Here is a 17,152-nt window from a genome sequence, read left to right as displayed (position 1 = left end):
TTTCCTCATATCTAAAATGGGCATGATTTTAGGATGCACCTCACAGGGCCGTGGAGAGATTTCAAAGAGGCAATCCATGTAGAACCTGGCATAGTCCTTGGTCCTTTATAGAATCTCAAGGAATTGGCCATTACTATAACAATTATGAGTAGTATCATTATATGAAAAGGAAATGGGGCTGGGCGCAGTGCCTCACACCTGTAATCCTGGCACTTTGGGAGACCAATTTGGGAGGACTGCTTGAAGCCAGGAGTTTGAAACCAGCCCGGACAACATAACGAGACTCTATCTCTATAAAAAAATAAAAAAATCAGCCTGGCATGGTGGCATGCACCTGTGGGCTCATCTACTCGGGAGGCTGAGGCAGGAGGATCACTTGAACCCAGGAGACTGAGGCTGCAGTGAGCTATAACTTAATTGCTGCACTCCAGCCTGGGCAACAGAGTGAGTTTCTGGCTCTAAACAAAAAAGTAAAAAAAAAAAAAAAAGAAAAGAAAAAAGAAAATGAGTTGGATGACTTCCGTTCCTGACGCTAAAATCTCTTGATTCAACCTGGGAGGCAATATTATATGATAGGAGGCTATGTAGCATAGTGTTAGGAATAAAAGCTTTGGTGTAATTAATAATAATAATAATAATAATAATAATAATACCTGACTCATGGTTATTAATGAAATGACTCATGTAAAATGTGTAGCATAGTATCTGTCAACTCTCAACAAACCATAACTATGACTATTATTTTATTATTTTGGTAGGGAGTTGGTGGAGGTGAATATGGAGCCACACCTCAAATAACAGCACTTAGTCTTTAGATAACAATTGCAGCCTATCCTTTTACTTGTGACCAGTTCGCATGTCCTTTCTGCTTCTTGTTTTCTGCATCCTTGGTCCAGTTTTTGAGCTTTTATGATATATTCTTCATGCTCCTGCCTTAGTGATCCTCCACATCATCCCTTTGTAATTTGATGTTGACGTGATTCAACATCTGCATGATTCCTGACCACCACGGAGGTGTGTGTGTGTGCATGCATGCCTGTGTGTTCCCGAGTGTGTGCATACATGGGTATGTGCATGCACGCACAGTATGTGTGCATGTGTGCATGTGTGTGTTTGTAGAAGGGGGGATGTGGTTAACTTGGAAGCATAAACAGTAAAATCTAATGATTATCTGTTGCCAGACAACATGCATTCATACATAATGTGAATGGTAGGTGGCTCCAGTCCTGTGACCACCTCCCTGGCAGGGAGAACAACCTCGAGTGGAGGCAAGGCTAGATGGGAAAAGAAGGGTGAGTGGAGCGTAGCTCCTCTTGTCACCCAGTACTCTCTTGGCCAAATCTTTCCTGGAGTCATTGCCACTGTCCTGCAAGCCTAAGGCAGCTATAAGGCTTAGAATTGTCCCCACCAATATACAACCTGAGTTGCCAAGTGCTTATTAAATGTATTTTCCTGAAAAGTTAATGGGAGAACATAATAAAATTTGTTAGGAACTGCAACTCCCTGCCCCTCTTCTCTCGCTTCTGTCAGGAATTCTCAAGGTAATTGTCTGTTTACCTGTCTGTTTCCATTGTTAGGCTGTCAGCATCTTGTGGGCAGGTACAGGTATTTTGTTTGAATCTTTTTCTCCAGTGTCTAGCATATAATAACCACAGAAACTTCACAAATATTTGCTGCATGAATGAGTCAATTCTTGAGCATCAGGTCAGCAGTACCTGCTCATGGGTTCTCTTGGCTGAAAGCCCATAAAACCTCTCTGGCTGAGGCAGGCTGGTTAAATGTCTATCTCGGGACACTGCTGTTGACCACTCTTGATAATGGAAAGAGAGGCTTCTGGGGGTTGCTAGACGAAATAGAAGTGGATATAAAGGGATGAACTAAAAGATCAAAATTAACACTCAATGATAAGAAGTAGAAGTAGCAGATGCTGTTGCTTTGAGGTCCTATTGAGAGAGATCAATTTTACTATAGTAGGAGAGAGAATGGGGCCATAGGGGGACTCTTCATTAGCTGACCAGAAAAGACCACCATGGGAGTGGACAGGAACCAATATATGCTGAATAGATATAATGTACAGAGGGTACAGAGAGGGTGACCGGCTGAAATTCATCCACTTATTTAACACACATTTATTCAACACCTACTATATATCAGACCCAGGTTTGATCTACCTGTACAGCATATATCCCTGCACAGCTTATGAGGCAGACGTCCACTCTGAATGGTCAGTGTCCATGATGCTTGGTTGTTAAATATTTAACTATGCCTTCTGTTAGCAGTGAACAAAAGGTCCCTACTCTCTTGGTGCTCAGTTTTTGGTCAGAGGGGATAGATGATAAGTACAAACACAAACAAATATATGACAGGTGATGATAAATGCTGTGAAGAAAACCAAATCAGGGTACAGGGACAGAGGTTAAATAATTTGCCTGAGACTTCACAGCAAATAAGAGGTGGAACTAGGACTTGATGAATTTGAAAGCTGACTCTAGTCACATCTGAAGAGGGGCTGTGGGAGCAGCTGGTCACAAACCTCACTGTAGTCCTACCTGAGCAAATGTCAGAAAGAGAGATCTTTTCATAAGCGATCATCAAATATTTATTGAGCCCCTAGCTGTATCAGGCAACTTGCTAAGCACTGGAGATACAGCAGCCGACAAACCAGAAAAGATCCATGCTCAGGGAGGGGTGAAGCAGAGGAGATGAATCTTAAATCATTGAAAAATAAAAAGAGATAAAAAGTGTTTCAAAAGAAGACAGAATGGTACAGGGAGATAAAAAGCAGAGCTATCCTAAGGAAAATGAAAGCCAGCTTGTAAAAGACTTACCTGCATTCCCATGTTTATTGCAGCATTATTCATAATAGCCAAGATATGAAATCAACCTAAGTGTCCATTGATGGATGAGTAGATGTAAGAAGTGCCTTTTGCCTCCCACCGTGATTCTGAGGCCTCCCCAGCCGTGTGGATCAGTAAGTCCAATTAAACCTCTTTTTGTTCCCAGTTTCAGGTATGTCTTTATCAGCAGCAAGAAAACAGACTAATACAGTAAATCAGTACCAGTAGAGTTGGGCATAGCTCAAAAAATACCTGAAAATGTGGAAGTAACTTTGAAACTGGGTAACAGGCAGAGGTTGGAACAGTTTGGAGGGCTCAGAAGAAGACAGAAAAATGCAGGACAGTTTGGAACCTCCTAGAAACTTGTTGAATGGCTTTGGCAAAAATGCTGATACTGTTATGAACAATAAGGTCCAGGCTGAGGTGGTCTCAGATGGAGATGAGGAACTTGTTGGGAACTGGAGCAAGGGTGACTCTTGTTATGTTTTAGCAAAGGGATTGGCGACATTTTGCCCCTGCCCTAGAGATCTGTGGAACTTTGAACTTGAGAGAGATGATTTAGGGTATCTGGCAGAAGAAATTTCTTTTCCTTTTTTTTCTTTTTTCTTTTTTTTTTTTTTTGAGATGGAGTGTTGCTCTGTTGCCCGAGCTGGAGTGCAGTGGTGCAATCTTGGCTCACTGCAACCTCTGCCTCCTGGGCTCAAGTGATTCTCCTGCTTCAGCCTCCCAAGTAGCTGGGATTACCACCACATGTGCACCACATGCCTGGCTAATTTTTGTATTTTTAGTGGAGACAGTGTTTCACCGTGTTGTCCAGGCTGGTCTCAAACTCCTGACCTCAAGTGATGCACCTGGTGGAAGAAATTTCTAAGCAGCAAAACATTCAAAATGTGACTTGGGTGCTATTAAAAGCTTCCATTTAAATAGGGAAACAGAGAGTAAAAGTTCAGAAAATTTGTAACCTGATGATGCAATAGAAAAGAAAAACCCATTTTTTGAGAAATTCAAGCCAGCTGCAGAAATTTGCATGAGTAGCAGGGAGCCTAATGTTGATCCCCAAGACCATGGGGAAAATGTCTCCAGGCCATGTCAGAGTCCTTCACAACATCCCCCTCCCATCACAGGCCTGGAGGCCCAGGAGGAAAAAGTGGTTTCATGGGCCGGGCCCAGGGTCCCTGTGCTGTGCAGCCTAGGGACTTGGTACCCTGTGTCCCAGCCACTCCAGCCATGGCTGAAAGGGGCCAAGGTAGAGCTTGGGCTGTGAGTATAGAGGGTGGAAGCCCCAAGCCTTGGCAGCTTTTATGTGGTGTTGAGCCTATGTGTGCACAGAAGTCAAGAATTGAGGTTTGGGAACCTCTGCCTAGATTTCAGAAGTTGTATGGGAATGCCTGGATGCCCAGGCAAAAGTTTGCTGCAGGGGTGGGGCCCTCATGGAGAACCTCTGCTAGGGCAGTGCAGAAGGGAAATGTGAGGTTGGAGCCCCTCCACAGAGTCCCTACTGGGGTACTGCCTACTGGAGTTGTGGGAAGAGGGCCACCATCCTCCAGACCACAGAATGGTAGATCCACTAGCAGCTTGCACCATGCTCCTAGAAAAGCCGCAGACACTCAATGCCAGCCTGTGAAAGCAGTGAGGAGGGAGGCTGTATCCTGCAAAGCCACAGGGGTAGAGCTGCCCAAGACCATGGGAACCCCCCTCTTGCATCAGTGTGACCTGGATGTGATACCTGGAGTCAAAGGAGGTCATTTTGAGCTTTAAAATTTAACTGCCCTGCTAGATTTCAGACTTGCATGGGCCCTGTAGCCCCTTTGTTTTGGCCAATTTCTCCCATTTGGATCAGCAGTATTTACTTAGTACCTGTATCCCCATTGTATCTAGGAAGTAACTAGCTTGCTTTTGATTTTGCAGGCTCATAGGTGAAAGGGACTTGCCTTGTCTCAGATAAGACTTTGGACTGTGGACTTTTGGATTAATGCTGAAATAAGTTAAGACTTTGGGGGACTGTTGGGAAGGCATGATTGATTTTGAAATGTGAGGACATGAGATTCGGAGGGGCCAGGAGCAGAATGATACGGTTTGGCTGTGTCCCCACCAAAATCTCAACTTGAATTATATTGTCCAGAATTCCCACGTGTTGTGGAAGGGACCCAGCAGGGGCGGGGAGTGTGTAATTGAATCATGGGGGCCGGTCTTTCCCGTGCTATTCTCGTGATAGTGAATAAGTCTCATGAGATCTGATGGGTTTATCAGGGGTTTCTGCTTTTGCTTCCTCCTCATTTTTTCTTGCTGCTGCTATGTAAGAACTGCCTTTCACCTCCTGTGATGATTCTGAGGCGTCTCCAGCCATGTGGAACTGTAAGTCCAATTAAACCTCTTTTTGTTCCCAGTTTTGGATATGTCTTTATCAGCAGTGTGAAAACAGACTAATACAGCAGATAAAGAAAATGTGGTACATGTACACAATAGAATACTATTCAGTCTTAAAAAAGAAGGAGATCTTGTCATTTGTGACAACATGGATGAAACTGGAGGACATTTTGCTAAGTGAAATAAGCCAGGCATAAACAGAAATATATTGCACGATCTTATTTATATGTGGAATCCGAACAAATCGAACTCATAGCAGCAGAGGAGAATAATGGTTACCAGGGGCTGGGAGGTATGCAGGAGAGGTATGGAGATGTTGGTCAAAGGATACAATGTTTCAGCTAGACAAGATGAATAAATTCTGGATGTCTATTGTGTAGCATGGTGACAATAGCATGCACTTCAAAATTGCTGAGATAGATCTTAAATGTTCTCACCATAAAAATTTAAGGATGTGGCATGATGGATATGTTAATTAGCTTGATTTAATCATTTCACAATGTGTAGATATGTCAAAACTTCACATCGTATGCCATAAATATATACAATTTTTTTCCTTAAATATTTTTTCTTTTGTAGTGATGGGATCTCACTATGTTGTCCAGGCTGGTCTTGAACTCCTGGTCTCAAGTGGTTCTCCTGCCTTGGCGTCCCAAAGTGCTGGGATTATAGGCATGAACCACTGTACCTGGCCAATATATATAATTTTTATTTGTTGATTTAAAAATTAATAAAAATTAAAAAATGAAAAAGCAGGGCTATTTTCATTTGGTGGAGGATGACCTCCCTCAGAAAGCTGTGTGTTAGCTGAGTGTGCCTGTTCTGTGCTCCCACTTTCACCTATGAGATGGTGTTTGTTATAAGCCTGTTGACTTTGAAGAGCATCACTCCTTTCTGTCTGGCTCCCTACATTTTCCTTCCTTTGTGAATGTCAGTGGGGGCTGAGTCCTTCCAAGCTCTCTTCAATTTGTGATTCTGATGCTGGCCAGATGTGCTTAGCAGGCTCTCATCTCCCCAGCCAGACCACTGAGCTCTTCCAATTACCAGCCAGTCACTTGGAATCATGCCTCTGACCCATTCATTCAGGGCAGATGCCTTCTCCCAGGCATCCTTAGAATTCTGGACAGAGGAAAGTGGGAAGGAGCCCAGATTCTGCCCTGAGATTTTCCAGAAACGGAGAGCTGCAGTGTCCGAGGAGGAAGAGATGAGAGGCAGGAATTGGAAAGAGCTGCAAGCTCTCTTCCCAGGCACTTGGGAAGTAAGAACTATTTATCCTATTTATTGGATGATTGTCAATAAGTCTTGCCAATTGCCTGGAAATATCCTGGCACTGCAATGAGGTCATACTCACCTCTGTGACCTATGCCCTTTGCTCTTTCTTATCTGTCCACATGGATAAAGGTGCAACACCTATCTCTTGGGTCAGGCACAGAAAACTGCCACATGGGAGTGATTTATTCCTGCCTGTGTTTGTGAGGCCCCTATTGCTTATTTCTTCTTTTCTTTACCATTATCAACCTTGCTCAGGTGCTGCTGGGTTGGAACCAGAAGATCCTGGTTGGAACTTTAGCCCTCCTTTTCTGGCTCTCTGATCTGGGGACATCAACACAGAGCTAACAGGTGTTGAGCACCTTTCCTGTGACAGGCAAGAGATTAAGTGCTTTATGTCAACTATTTTATATTGTTCTTATAGCAGGCTTATGAAGGGAGGTGCTTTTTTTTTCCCTTGAAAAGAATCACAAAACAACCGAGGCCGAGATAAATTAGGTAGTTTGCTAAAAGTAACACAGTTAGGTGGTAGAAAAGCTTATGACTGTCACTCATGAAACACTGTGTTCAGTGTTGTACCTGTGCCATCTTTTAAAATCTTTGCAATAGTCTTCTATTTTTTTGAGGTGGAGTCTCATTCTGTTGCCCAGGCTGGAGTGCAGTGGCGTGATCTTGCCTCAACGCAACCTCCACGTCCCAGGTTCAAGCGAATCTCCTGCCTCAGCCTCCCGAGTAGCTGGGATTACAGGCATGCATCACCATGCCTGGCTAATTTTTATATTTTTAGTAGCGATGGTGTTTCACCATGTTGGCCAGCTGGTCTCAAACTCCTGACCTCAAGTGATCTGCCCACCTCGGCCTCCCAAAGTGCTAGAATTACAGGCACGTGCAATAGTCTTAAACCTAAGTATGACAACCCCATCTTTTATACATGAGGAAATTAAAAGCAAAAACATTAAGAAAGTTTTCCAAAGTCACACAGCTTGTAAATGGCAGAGGAAGAACTTCAGCTTAGTCATTCTCCTTCCAAAGTCCAAGCCTACACCATATTTCTGAGCCTCAGCCTTCCCTTCTACGGTGAAGAGAGCCCCATTGTGATAAAGGGCTGTGAGGGAGGACATCTTGGAGTCACACCTTTCTTCTATTGAGTCTGCACCAGTTCTGATGTTTGAAAGAGATGCCTATAGGGACTGGGAGAGGTTGGGTCACACTAGAATCCCTGAGGCTTGGTACAGGGATGATCTTTTTGAGCCACCTTGGGTTTTCCTAAATATTCCAGAGTAGGAGACCTTAGAGAAACAGACGTTGAACAAAGCAGCTACTGGGGCTCCTGCTTGGTTAAGGGAAAGGGTTTTTCAAGTCCACCTGTGGCCAAGAAAGAGAGTGATATGGTTTGGCTTTGTGTCCCCACCCAAATCTCACCATGAATTGTAATAATCCCCACATGTCATAGGAGGGACCCAGTGGGAGGTAATTGAATCATGGGGGCAGGGTTTTCCCATGCTGTTCTCATGATAGTGAATAAGTCTCGTGAGATGTGATTTTTTTTTTTTTTTTTTTTTTGAGACCGAGTTTCACTCTTATCACCCAGGCTGGAGTGCAGTGGCGTGATCTTGGCTCACTGCAACCTCTGCCTCCTGGGCTCAGGTGATTCTCCTGCCTCAGCCTCTCGAGTAGCTGGGATTACAGGCACTCACTGCCACGCCCAACTAATTTTTTTTTGTATTTTTAATAGAGATGGGGTTTCGCCATGTTGGCCAGACTGTTCTCGAACTCCTGACTTCAGGTGATCCACCCGTCTCGGCCTCCCAAAGTGCTGGGATTACAGGTGTGAGCCACCACACCCAGCAGAGAGCTGATGGTTTTATAAAGGGGAGTTCCCCTGCACATGCCCTCTTGCCTGCCACCATGTGAGATGTGGCCTTGCTCCTCCTTTGCATTCCACCATGATGCCAGCCATGTGCAACTGTGATTCAGTTAAACCTCTTTCCTTTATAAATTAACCAGTCTTGGGTATGTCTTTATTAGCAGCATGAGAACAGACTAATACAGAGAGATATTAACATGTATTCCCTGCATGGCAGGCGGTGCAGAGGGCAAAGCACCAGATTGAGGGCTAGCAGCACTGGGCCAAAATGTCTGGGCTGTTCCTTATCAGCTGTGTGAGCCTGGATTAGTCTCCTAATCCCTTGAGGCTCGGTATCCCTCTGTGGAAGTGGGAAAAGGCACTTCCTCACGAAGTGAATTGCTAAGAGCATTTTATAGACTACTGAGTGCTTTATACATGTGATGCTAATTTCCTTCCTTTGGGTAATAAATGAGACATGCTGGGGTTCCCTTGTTTAATAGGTTTCTAGGTCTGGCTCCAGGATCTCATGATGTGCTCTGGGATGTGGATGTGTCAAAGTATCAAAGAATGGAAAGAGCAAGAGATGAAGTAGATACAGAAGATTCTGAGATAGCCTCACTCCGATCCCATGAAAGTGACAAATTGGCTGTACAATCACTCAATTGCTAACTTTTCCAGCACCCCCCACCTGCCTGGTCCTGGACTTTGCACTGCCAGGGGTAGAAGAAAACCCATTGGTCTTGTCTGATGAGAGTTTATGGTTTTAGGTGGGGACAAGGACAACACCAAATCAGAACTATTAGACATGGAATTTAATTCAGAACTAAGCTGGATGGGAAATGGAGGTGTACAGGTTCTGGAAAGAAAGACTGATGGAGAGATGAGAGTAATCAGGGAAGGCTTTGGCAGAACCAGAGCTTGAGAGGGACTGAAAGGAGCAGGAAAGGTAGTGGTGGCTGTAGTGACATCCCCTTCATCCCACAACATGTGGCAATTAACAGCTTCCTACTGCTAAAAAAAGCATCAAGCACTGACTATCCTAGGCACAGAGCCAAATCCTTTATGTCATTCAAGTCTCCCAACCCTTTGAGGTGACACCATTTCACAGATGAGAAAACAGGCAGGGGAAAGAAGGTGTTTCCAGGTCACATACCTAGTCAATGGCAGAGGCGGATTCTAACTCTGGACTGTCTGGTATATCCAGAGTTTGTGCCCCTAACCACAAAGCTGTACACTGAAGGCATGACAGACCTGTGTGAAACACTCTTTGTTGTCCAGCCAGGCTGAGAATGTAGGGGCAATGGAAAGGTTAGTACTTGTCAGGAGCAGAAAAAGAGAAATTTCTTTCTTATTATTCTTTTGTTTTTCCCTTACTCCAGGAGGGACTTTGGGCCAAGATGTTTTTGCCCAACAGATGCTTTTGGTATGGAGAGCTGAGAGGAACTACACCGTGATGGAGAAGTGAAGGCTGGGTGCTTTGGGCTGGTTCAGGCTCTGAATCCAGAATAGAGAGTGGGGCCTGAGGGTGCATTGTATAGTCCTCAGTGGAGCACATGAGGGCAGAGAAGAGGGGTTGTAGCAGGAATCCACACCTGCAGCTACAACATGGCCTTTACTGGGAGAATGTGAGGCATAAAGGTCAAGAGTTGATCTAGCCATGGAAGGCCAAGCTCCAACAGCCCCATGAAATAGAAGGATCATGATCCCAAATGAGACTCAGCCTGCCTCTCAATCCCCAGGGGAAGGAGTCCTGAACTGAGAAATCTGGCAATGCCCAGCTATCCTTCAAATATGCTGTGGGGCCGTGGAGCGAATCATATCCTCTCCCTTGGCCTCAGTTTCTGCATCTAATAGCATGGGGCATTTGGACCAGATGAATTCTGAATAGGTTGGGTGACTGTAGAGTTGTATTCAGGACAGTGACTAAGCATTTTCCATGTTTTGAGATGATAGTTCACCATTTTCTTTAAGGGGCTGAATCCCTTTGGCCTGACTGCCTGACTCTAAAGTCTCAGCTTTCGGACCCTACATCAATAAGGAGCTGGAGAGAGGATGGAGATCTCCCCAATACCCTAGGGAAATGGGGACTGGGAGGGCTGGGGTAATGGAGCAGTCACTGCCTGCATCCTAGAATAGCTGCAGCCTTCCTGGCATCTGCCATCCTGGCTGCAAACTCCCATCTCATTGGCTGCTCCTTGTCCCTGCCGTCTGGCAGGCACTGCTTTCCAGGTTTTTGTGGCACCGACTAAGCAGCCTCCTTGCAAGCTACAGCATGCTGGCTTCTTTCTCCACGTGGTTGGGATCATAATAGCAACTCTCCTCTGGTTCCCTCCATCCTGCCTCACTTCACTTCCCTGATGGGTGTGGACAGAGGGATAGTTTAGGACATTGGAAAGGGGCCTATACTTGGCATCAAGGGTCTCAAGTTCTTCCTACCCATTTTTTATGCACCTGGGCACAAGTCTAAACATCTCTCCTGGCTTCAGCATCTTCACCTGTGAAATGGGTGTGATGAGGCTGTTGTTCTACTGCTGTTAACCAGGGTGTTCATCCCTGTGGTTCACAGCTGGAGTCCCTTTTGCTTGGCCAGTGCCCAAACTATACGGGTTGTTTAATAAATGAAATATCTCCCTGAGGATAATAACGTTGGGGCATTCACATAGAACTTGCTGTGAGAATTCAATGGAGATAAATGAAGGATGGGAGCAAGTGCTTTGGGAACTGTAAAGTCATTATCAAGTAGCGAATACACCTGTCTGTCCAGTACCCATTTGTCTCCTCTGTCTTGAAGGTACGTTTCACCTTGATTTTCCACTCCCTGATTCTTAACCATATAGTTCAATTGGGACTTGCTCCACTCCCAGCTCCAAGTCTGCATGTGAGCAGGCCTGGGCAGGTGAGCATGTCCTCCTCTGGCTGCAGTGATAGGTTCAGAGATGAATCAAACCGAAAAAGCCTTATCCAAGCCAATCCTGGGGTAGGACCCAGACCTGATCAATAAGAACACACATGTTCTCACTGTGATAATGGCTTAGGGATAGTCTTATGACCTGAGTTAGACCAATCCGATGATTTTTCTGAGATTATTCTCACTGGAATGGGTGGGAAAACTCCTTTCTCTTTTAGTTGTTGAGTTTGGAGGCTGTGACTCATGGCTTTTTTTTTTTTTTTTTTTTTCACACAGAGAAAGCCTGCCTGGTAGAAGAGAAAGGAGCCAAGCAAAACCAAAAAACGGATATGAGATGAAAAGGAAAGAGAGTAGAGTCCTGGTGACATCAAGTCCTGGCTCTCTTTGGTCCGTAATGCCCTCATTCCTTTAGCTCCTCCTTCAAGCAGAGTAAAGAACAGAGGGTAACAAGCTGTGGGATACACTTCTACAGTTTTACATTGGTGATCAGGGAAGGCTTTTCTACTAAGGTTAAATATGATCTGAGATCTGAATAAAGTAAGGGAGTGAGTCCTGTAGATACACAGGGGAAGAGAATTCCAGGCAGAGGGAATAGAAGGTGCAAAGGCTCTGAGATGGGAGGGAGCTTGGTATGTTCAAGGAATTGCAAGTGCACCAATTGTGTCTGGAGCTGAGTGAGAAAATAATAACTTATCCTAGAACTTCTCTCTGGGGTGTCTCAGCTATGGAGTTTCTCTCTGCCTGGACTAGAGTTGATGTTGGGACCTGAACTGCAGCCCCACAGGCTTTGGTGCCTGTAGCTGCCGGGGGCTAGAAAGGTCAGAGACTAGCACTGAGGTTTTTTTTTTTTTTTTTTTTTTTTTGCTCTGTAATCCTATATCTGTCAATATCCAAAGGATATGACCTCCTTCTAATTAGCTTCCTCTAATAACTCACTCAGGAGCTGTCATAAACTACTCTTTCTACAAGGATTCAGAGAAGGGAACAATTCTGTGTGGCTAGAGTAGACAGAAAAGCTTCAGTGGGAATGATTCCTTTCATTACAATTGTTGAGGTGTGACATTCCATGAACACATGCCAATTTGTTCCCTGTGTGTTTGTTCCTTTCTTCATTCGTTTAACAAGAATTTATTGAGTATCTGATATCTGCCAAGGTATACAGAAAGGCACTGAATATACAAAGATGAATCAGTCACGGTTTTTGCTTTCAAGGATCTCAGTCTGGGGTGGGTGTGGAGGAGGCAGCCACGTAAACAGATAATTAGAGAGAAACATGGCAGGTGTTGGAACCAAGGTAGGAACGCGGTGCTGGATGGGAGCCCTGAGGAAGGAGGGACAGTTTTACCCAGACAAGCCAGGGAGATCTACACTGACCTCTGAATTGGACATTGAAGACACAGGGAAATTTGACCAGTGGAGGGGATAGCACATGTTAACAGTATGTAGTCATGGGAAAGGATGGGATTAGGAAATGGCAAACATTTAGTATAGAGGGTTTTGGGGTTTGGGAGTTGGTAGGTAAAATAGAGGGGAAGTGTTTGAGGTAAACCCAGTCTGCATTAGACTTTGTTCTGCTGATTTGGAGAATCACTGGGGATTCAAAGCAAGGGAGTAGTAGCAACAGATTAGATTGTTATATAATATAATAATATAATATATAAAATATAATATAGTATTATAATATGATAATAATGGGAGTTAGTCTGAAACATAAATGGTTAGTTGTTTGGGTTGAGACAGAGTTACCAACTCAATGCCAACAGGCGCCAGGCAGAAAACAGAACAAGGAGCAAGGTCAGCAGGTCATACAGCCCTGCAGAGGGTAGGTGTTACTCAACTTAGTCAATTGTTGCCCCAGTAGAAGCTTAGGTCCAGGGCTGTCAGAGCTGAGTTTTCAAGAGCAGCTGGAAATCCGGATCCTTATGTAAAAAAAATCTCACCATTTTTAAATGTTGGCAACTACTTAAAATTCTACAAAATGTTGTGTGGGCCAAGTGTAACACATCTGCCAGCCTGATCTATCTGCAGGCCACTGGTTTGCAACTTCTGGGTTGAGAAAAGAGTTTTCTTTCTTCAAAAGAGAGATGAGATGAAAATAGTTTTGGATCCAATGATTCAGGCCTGAAATGACCTTCTTTCATTCTTGTTCTAGAAAATTCCTAATCATTACTTAAGGCTCAGTTGCAAATCCCTTTGTGAAGCTTTCCTCATCACCTCCCCTCTCTCTGACACCCTCAACGACCTCCCACATCTCCCAAGCATGTGTTCGCTGCATCTTTAACATGCTCTGATACCTGAAAACAAAGGCAAAAACAAAAACAAAAGTTGTGGAGGAGCAGAGAAGCCAGGGCCAGAAAAGACACAGAACTGTTGATTAATGGATGGAACCAAGACTTGCAGAAGTAGAAGAAATTCACAATACAGGCTCCCTCCTCCTAATTGAACTGTCTGGGATGGGAAGAAGCAACTGAATCTGAAAGGAAAGATGAGTTGCTTGAGAAGAGGTTGGACTTCAAGAACTCAGTAGTGAGGCTCAACTTCGAGGCTCAATATTGAGTTTATGTAGGATGTAATTCTTAAGCAGGGTTATGTACCATTTTTGAGTCCGTAATCATATCTGTCTTTAGTTACTGCTAATCCTGAGACACTGAAGACCGATCTGGGAGTTTTCCATGAAGGGATTTAAGCTATGGGGGTGGAGTGGACATCTGTTGTTTTTGCTGTCCAATTGCCTTTCATTTTTCTCTTAATTTCTCTAGGGATCAATTCCTCCCCAGCTTTCAGTCCATGTGCTTCTTCTTTTTTTTTTTTTTTTTGAGATGGAGTCTTGCTCTGTTGCCCAGGCTGGAGTGCAGTGGTGTGAGCTTGGTTCACTGCAACCTCCACCTCCACCTCCTGGGTTCAAGCGATTCTCTTACCTCAGCCTCCCGAGTAGCTGGGACTACAGGTGGCCACCATCACACCTGGCTAATTTTTTGTATTTTTAGTAGAGACAGGGTTTCATCACATTGGCCAGGCTGGTCTTGAACTCCTAACCTTGTGATCTGCTCGCCTCAGCCTCCCAAAGTGCTGGGATTACAGGTGTGAGCCACCGCACCCAGCCTCCATGTGCTTCTTACTTGAGAGTTGGGCATGGGACATATTCATGGCTCATTGAGGCTTCTTATTGCCTGGACACAGTGGTCAGTGCAGTGATGGTCACATAACTCTATTAGAGTCAGTGAAAATCAGGCTCAGAAATTTCCTTGAATTGTTTAGAGAGAGGCATTCTCTCTTGTGTTCCTAGATTTGAACCTGGGAGGGTATAGTTTTTAGAGCAACCTAAGAAGGAAACAATATGGAGAAGAGGAGAGTGAGAGATGGTGAGAAACCTGGATGCAGATGGTGTCATTTGAACCATTGAATCAAACTGTACCTAGAGCTAGTTAACTTGATTTTCTAGTTATTGTAGCTAGTAATTTTTTCTCCCTTAAACCAATTTGAGTTATGAATATGTTTTTGTCAGTTGCAACCAAAAGTGATCCTTCAACCTCCATTAAAGGCGTGAATAATGGTCCCTCCCATGTACAGTTCATGAAACATTTTTACACTTATTGCCCTGATTCTCCCAACTCTCCTGTGAAGTTAGTAAAGCAGGTATTATCATCCCCATATCACAGAGATGGCAGTCGAGGCTTCATGAGGTTAGGATCCATAGTCAGATGGCTTAGGAATGGCAGAATAAAAATCCTGTTCTTGTGAGTCTGGTTCCAGAGTTTCTTTGTACCGACAATGTTATGCTAAATTAAACTCTGATAATGCTGAACTAAATTACTCTAAAGTACCCCTGGAAATAGCCTCTCAGAATCATAATTCATGCTGGGTAATTACAAAATAACTTTCTTCTGATTATTTTCCTACTTACCTACCTCCAAGGGAAAGGTTGGTGATAAATGTCAGGGTTAGGACAATTTAAGTAATTATTTAGATGTCTGGCTGATAGATATCTTTTACCATGGTGCTACTATCTGCTTTTAACTTCTGCTTGATAACAAAGTGGGAACCCTACATTTAATATCCCCAACACAAATAAAGTTATTTTTTAAAGAGATTGTTGAGAGCCTTCCTCATGTGATTCCATCTTTCTGGAATGATGCTCCTACCACACCTAGGTCTTGCCCACCCTTCGGGTTTGGCTTCAATAGCGTGGATGAAGAGCGGTCCTACTTTATAAGAAATAGTTTTTTTTTCCCTCTCTCAGCCTCAATTTTGTCCATTTTAAGCTGTGTTATATTCTTCCTACATTTTTTTCACAATTTAATTTTAATTAATTTAATTTTAATAAAAAATTTAATTTTAATTAATGTTTTTAATTTTCTTCCTTTCCAATTGAATTTCCAGCAGCATGTTTCACTTCTCTATCCCTAGCACCTAGCTCAGTGCCTGGTATGTGGTATCTAGTCACTAAATATTTGTTGACGGAGTAAAGTGGTGAATGAGTGGCTTGTCCCACAGTATCGAAGAGAAGGGGACATGTGAGCCATTAGCAACTTGGGGCAGGGAGGGCTCTGGGTTGGAGGCTCTAGATTGGTGGTTATCAGCAGAGAAGCTGGGCTGGGTGGGGGAGACAAATCCTGAGAAGGGTGAATCCTCTAGGGAATGCAGTATGAGAGCAGAGAAGTATAGTGTCAAGGACCAAGACCTACCGCATGGAAAAAGAATAAGAAGCCAGGAAAGGGGACAGGGATGGGTAGAAACCATGTCCTAAAGGCCAGGGCAGGAGGGGGCTCAGGAAGAAAAGGGAGTAGATAGCAGTGCTTCATACCTCCACATGTTGCCAGAGCACCTGATTGACACCTGACTTACTTTTCCAATTATTTTTACCCTGATTGTAGCAGTTGGCAGATTTCCAAGTGGCAGTGCAATTTTGTTTGCTGCCTGCAATTCCCACCTCTCCAGGTTAGCAGACACGAGTCCTCTGACCTTGCCAGCGAAGGTGACACCTCTCAATTTAGCTCTGTCTGCAAAAGTCAGCTGAGATGCTATGTGCTTTCTCCACTGGGTCTTAAAGTATATTCACAGGGGCCCAGCCGCACCCACACCACACACTTTACATCCTCTGCTCCCTCAGGAAGTGAGGGCATCTGCTGGACCACCACTTTGCAGCCCACCTTTGTGGGGATCCTTACCAGCTTTCAATATTGTGATAAAGGGAATACGAAAGTGATTTGAGTGAGGAGTCTCAAGTCTAAGGAATCAATAACAAGAAGAGAGGCAAAGCTGAGTCTCTGTCATTCTTCTAGGAAGTAGTCTCTAAAATTCTAGGAGCTGAGTTCATCACACTCCAGAGAGTGACACACACCTGGGTCCCTTGTTTCCCTTTGAAGTTCCAAGCCTTCCACAGCCAGGCACATGTTCATGATAGCTAGAGATTTTAATAGATGCTAGTTTGGAGTACTTACAATGGGCTCAGCACTGTGTTGGTCTTTTTGTAGGTGTTCATCTTACTTAATCTTCTCCTGGAATCCTATTAGGTCATTATTACTGGCTCCATTTTGCAGATGAGAAAACTGAGGCTCAGCAAGGTGGTATGACTTGCTGAAAGTCGCACAGAATGTATAGCACGGAACTGGGAATCAAACTCAGGTCACGGTTTTTCCTATGACCCCTACTTGGTGGAGGCACCAAGCCATGCTGGTTACCTGATGGGGACTGACAGCGTCTGTCACTGGAATTAACTAACTGGGGCCTGGCCTTGTGCCTGAATGTTGAGAGAGCCAGCCACCTGGAAAGTCGTGCCAGTTCATGTGGCCCAATGGGTAAAATTTCTCCATCACGCCCACTCCTCTGCTTCCCTCCTAACCCACTCAGGGTTCCTGCTTCTGATGAGGGCAGGGACCTCCAGTTGACAATTTAGCTCCCTAAAGCAAAAAAGAGTCTTTT

The 17,152-nt window shown here is 44.3% G+C and overlaps 1 long non-coding RNA gene across 4 annotated transcripts in view; it reads left to right on the top strand.

The window, feature by feature from the left end:
- LOC105369309 (uncharacterized) overlaps positions 1 to 17,152 on the top strand; it is a 189,617-nt gene that overhangs the window by 57,712 nt on the left and 114,753 nt on the right. For 2 of the 4 annotated variants that reach the window (XR_007062670.1, XR_950120.3), the window contains one exon: positions 11,507 to 11,617. The exons of 1 other annotated variant lie outside the window; for it this stretch is intronic. This is a non-coding gene — a long non-coding RNA (uncharacterized LOC105369309). Of the gene's footprint in view, positions 1 to 2,851; positions 2,890 to 11,506; positions 11,618 to 17,152 lie in introns of those variants that run through there. One more of the 4 variants, XR_001748217.1, reaches the window with a different exon arrangement.

This window comes from Homo sapiens, chromosome 11 (assembly GCF_000001405.40).
Source record: "Homo sapiens chromosome 11, GRCh38.p14 Primary Assembly".
Taxonomy (NCBI): Eukaryota; Metazoa; Chordata; class Mammalia; order Primates; family Hominidae; genus Homo; species Homo sapiens.
This window is presented reverse-complemented; position numbering and strand designations above follow the sequence as displayed.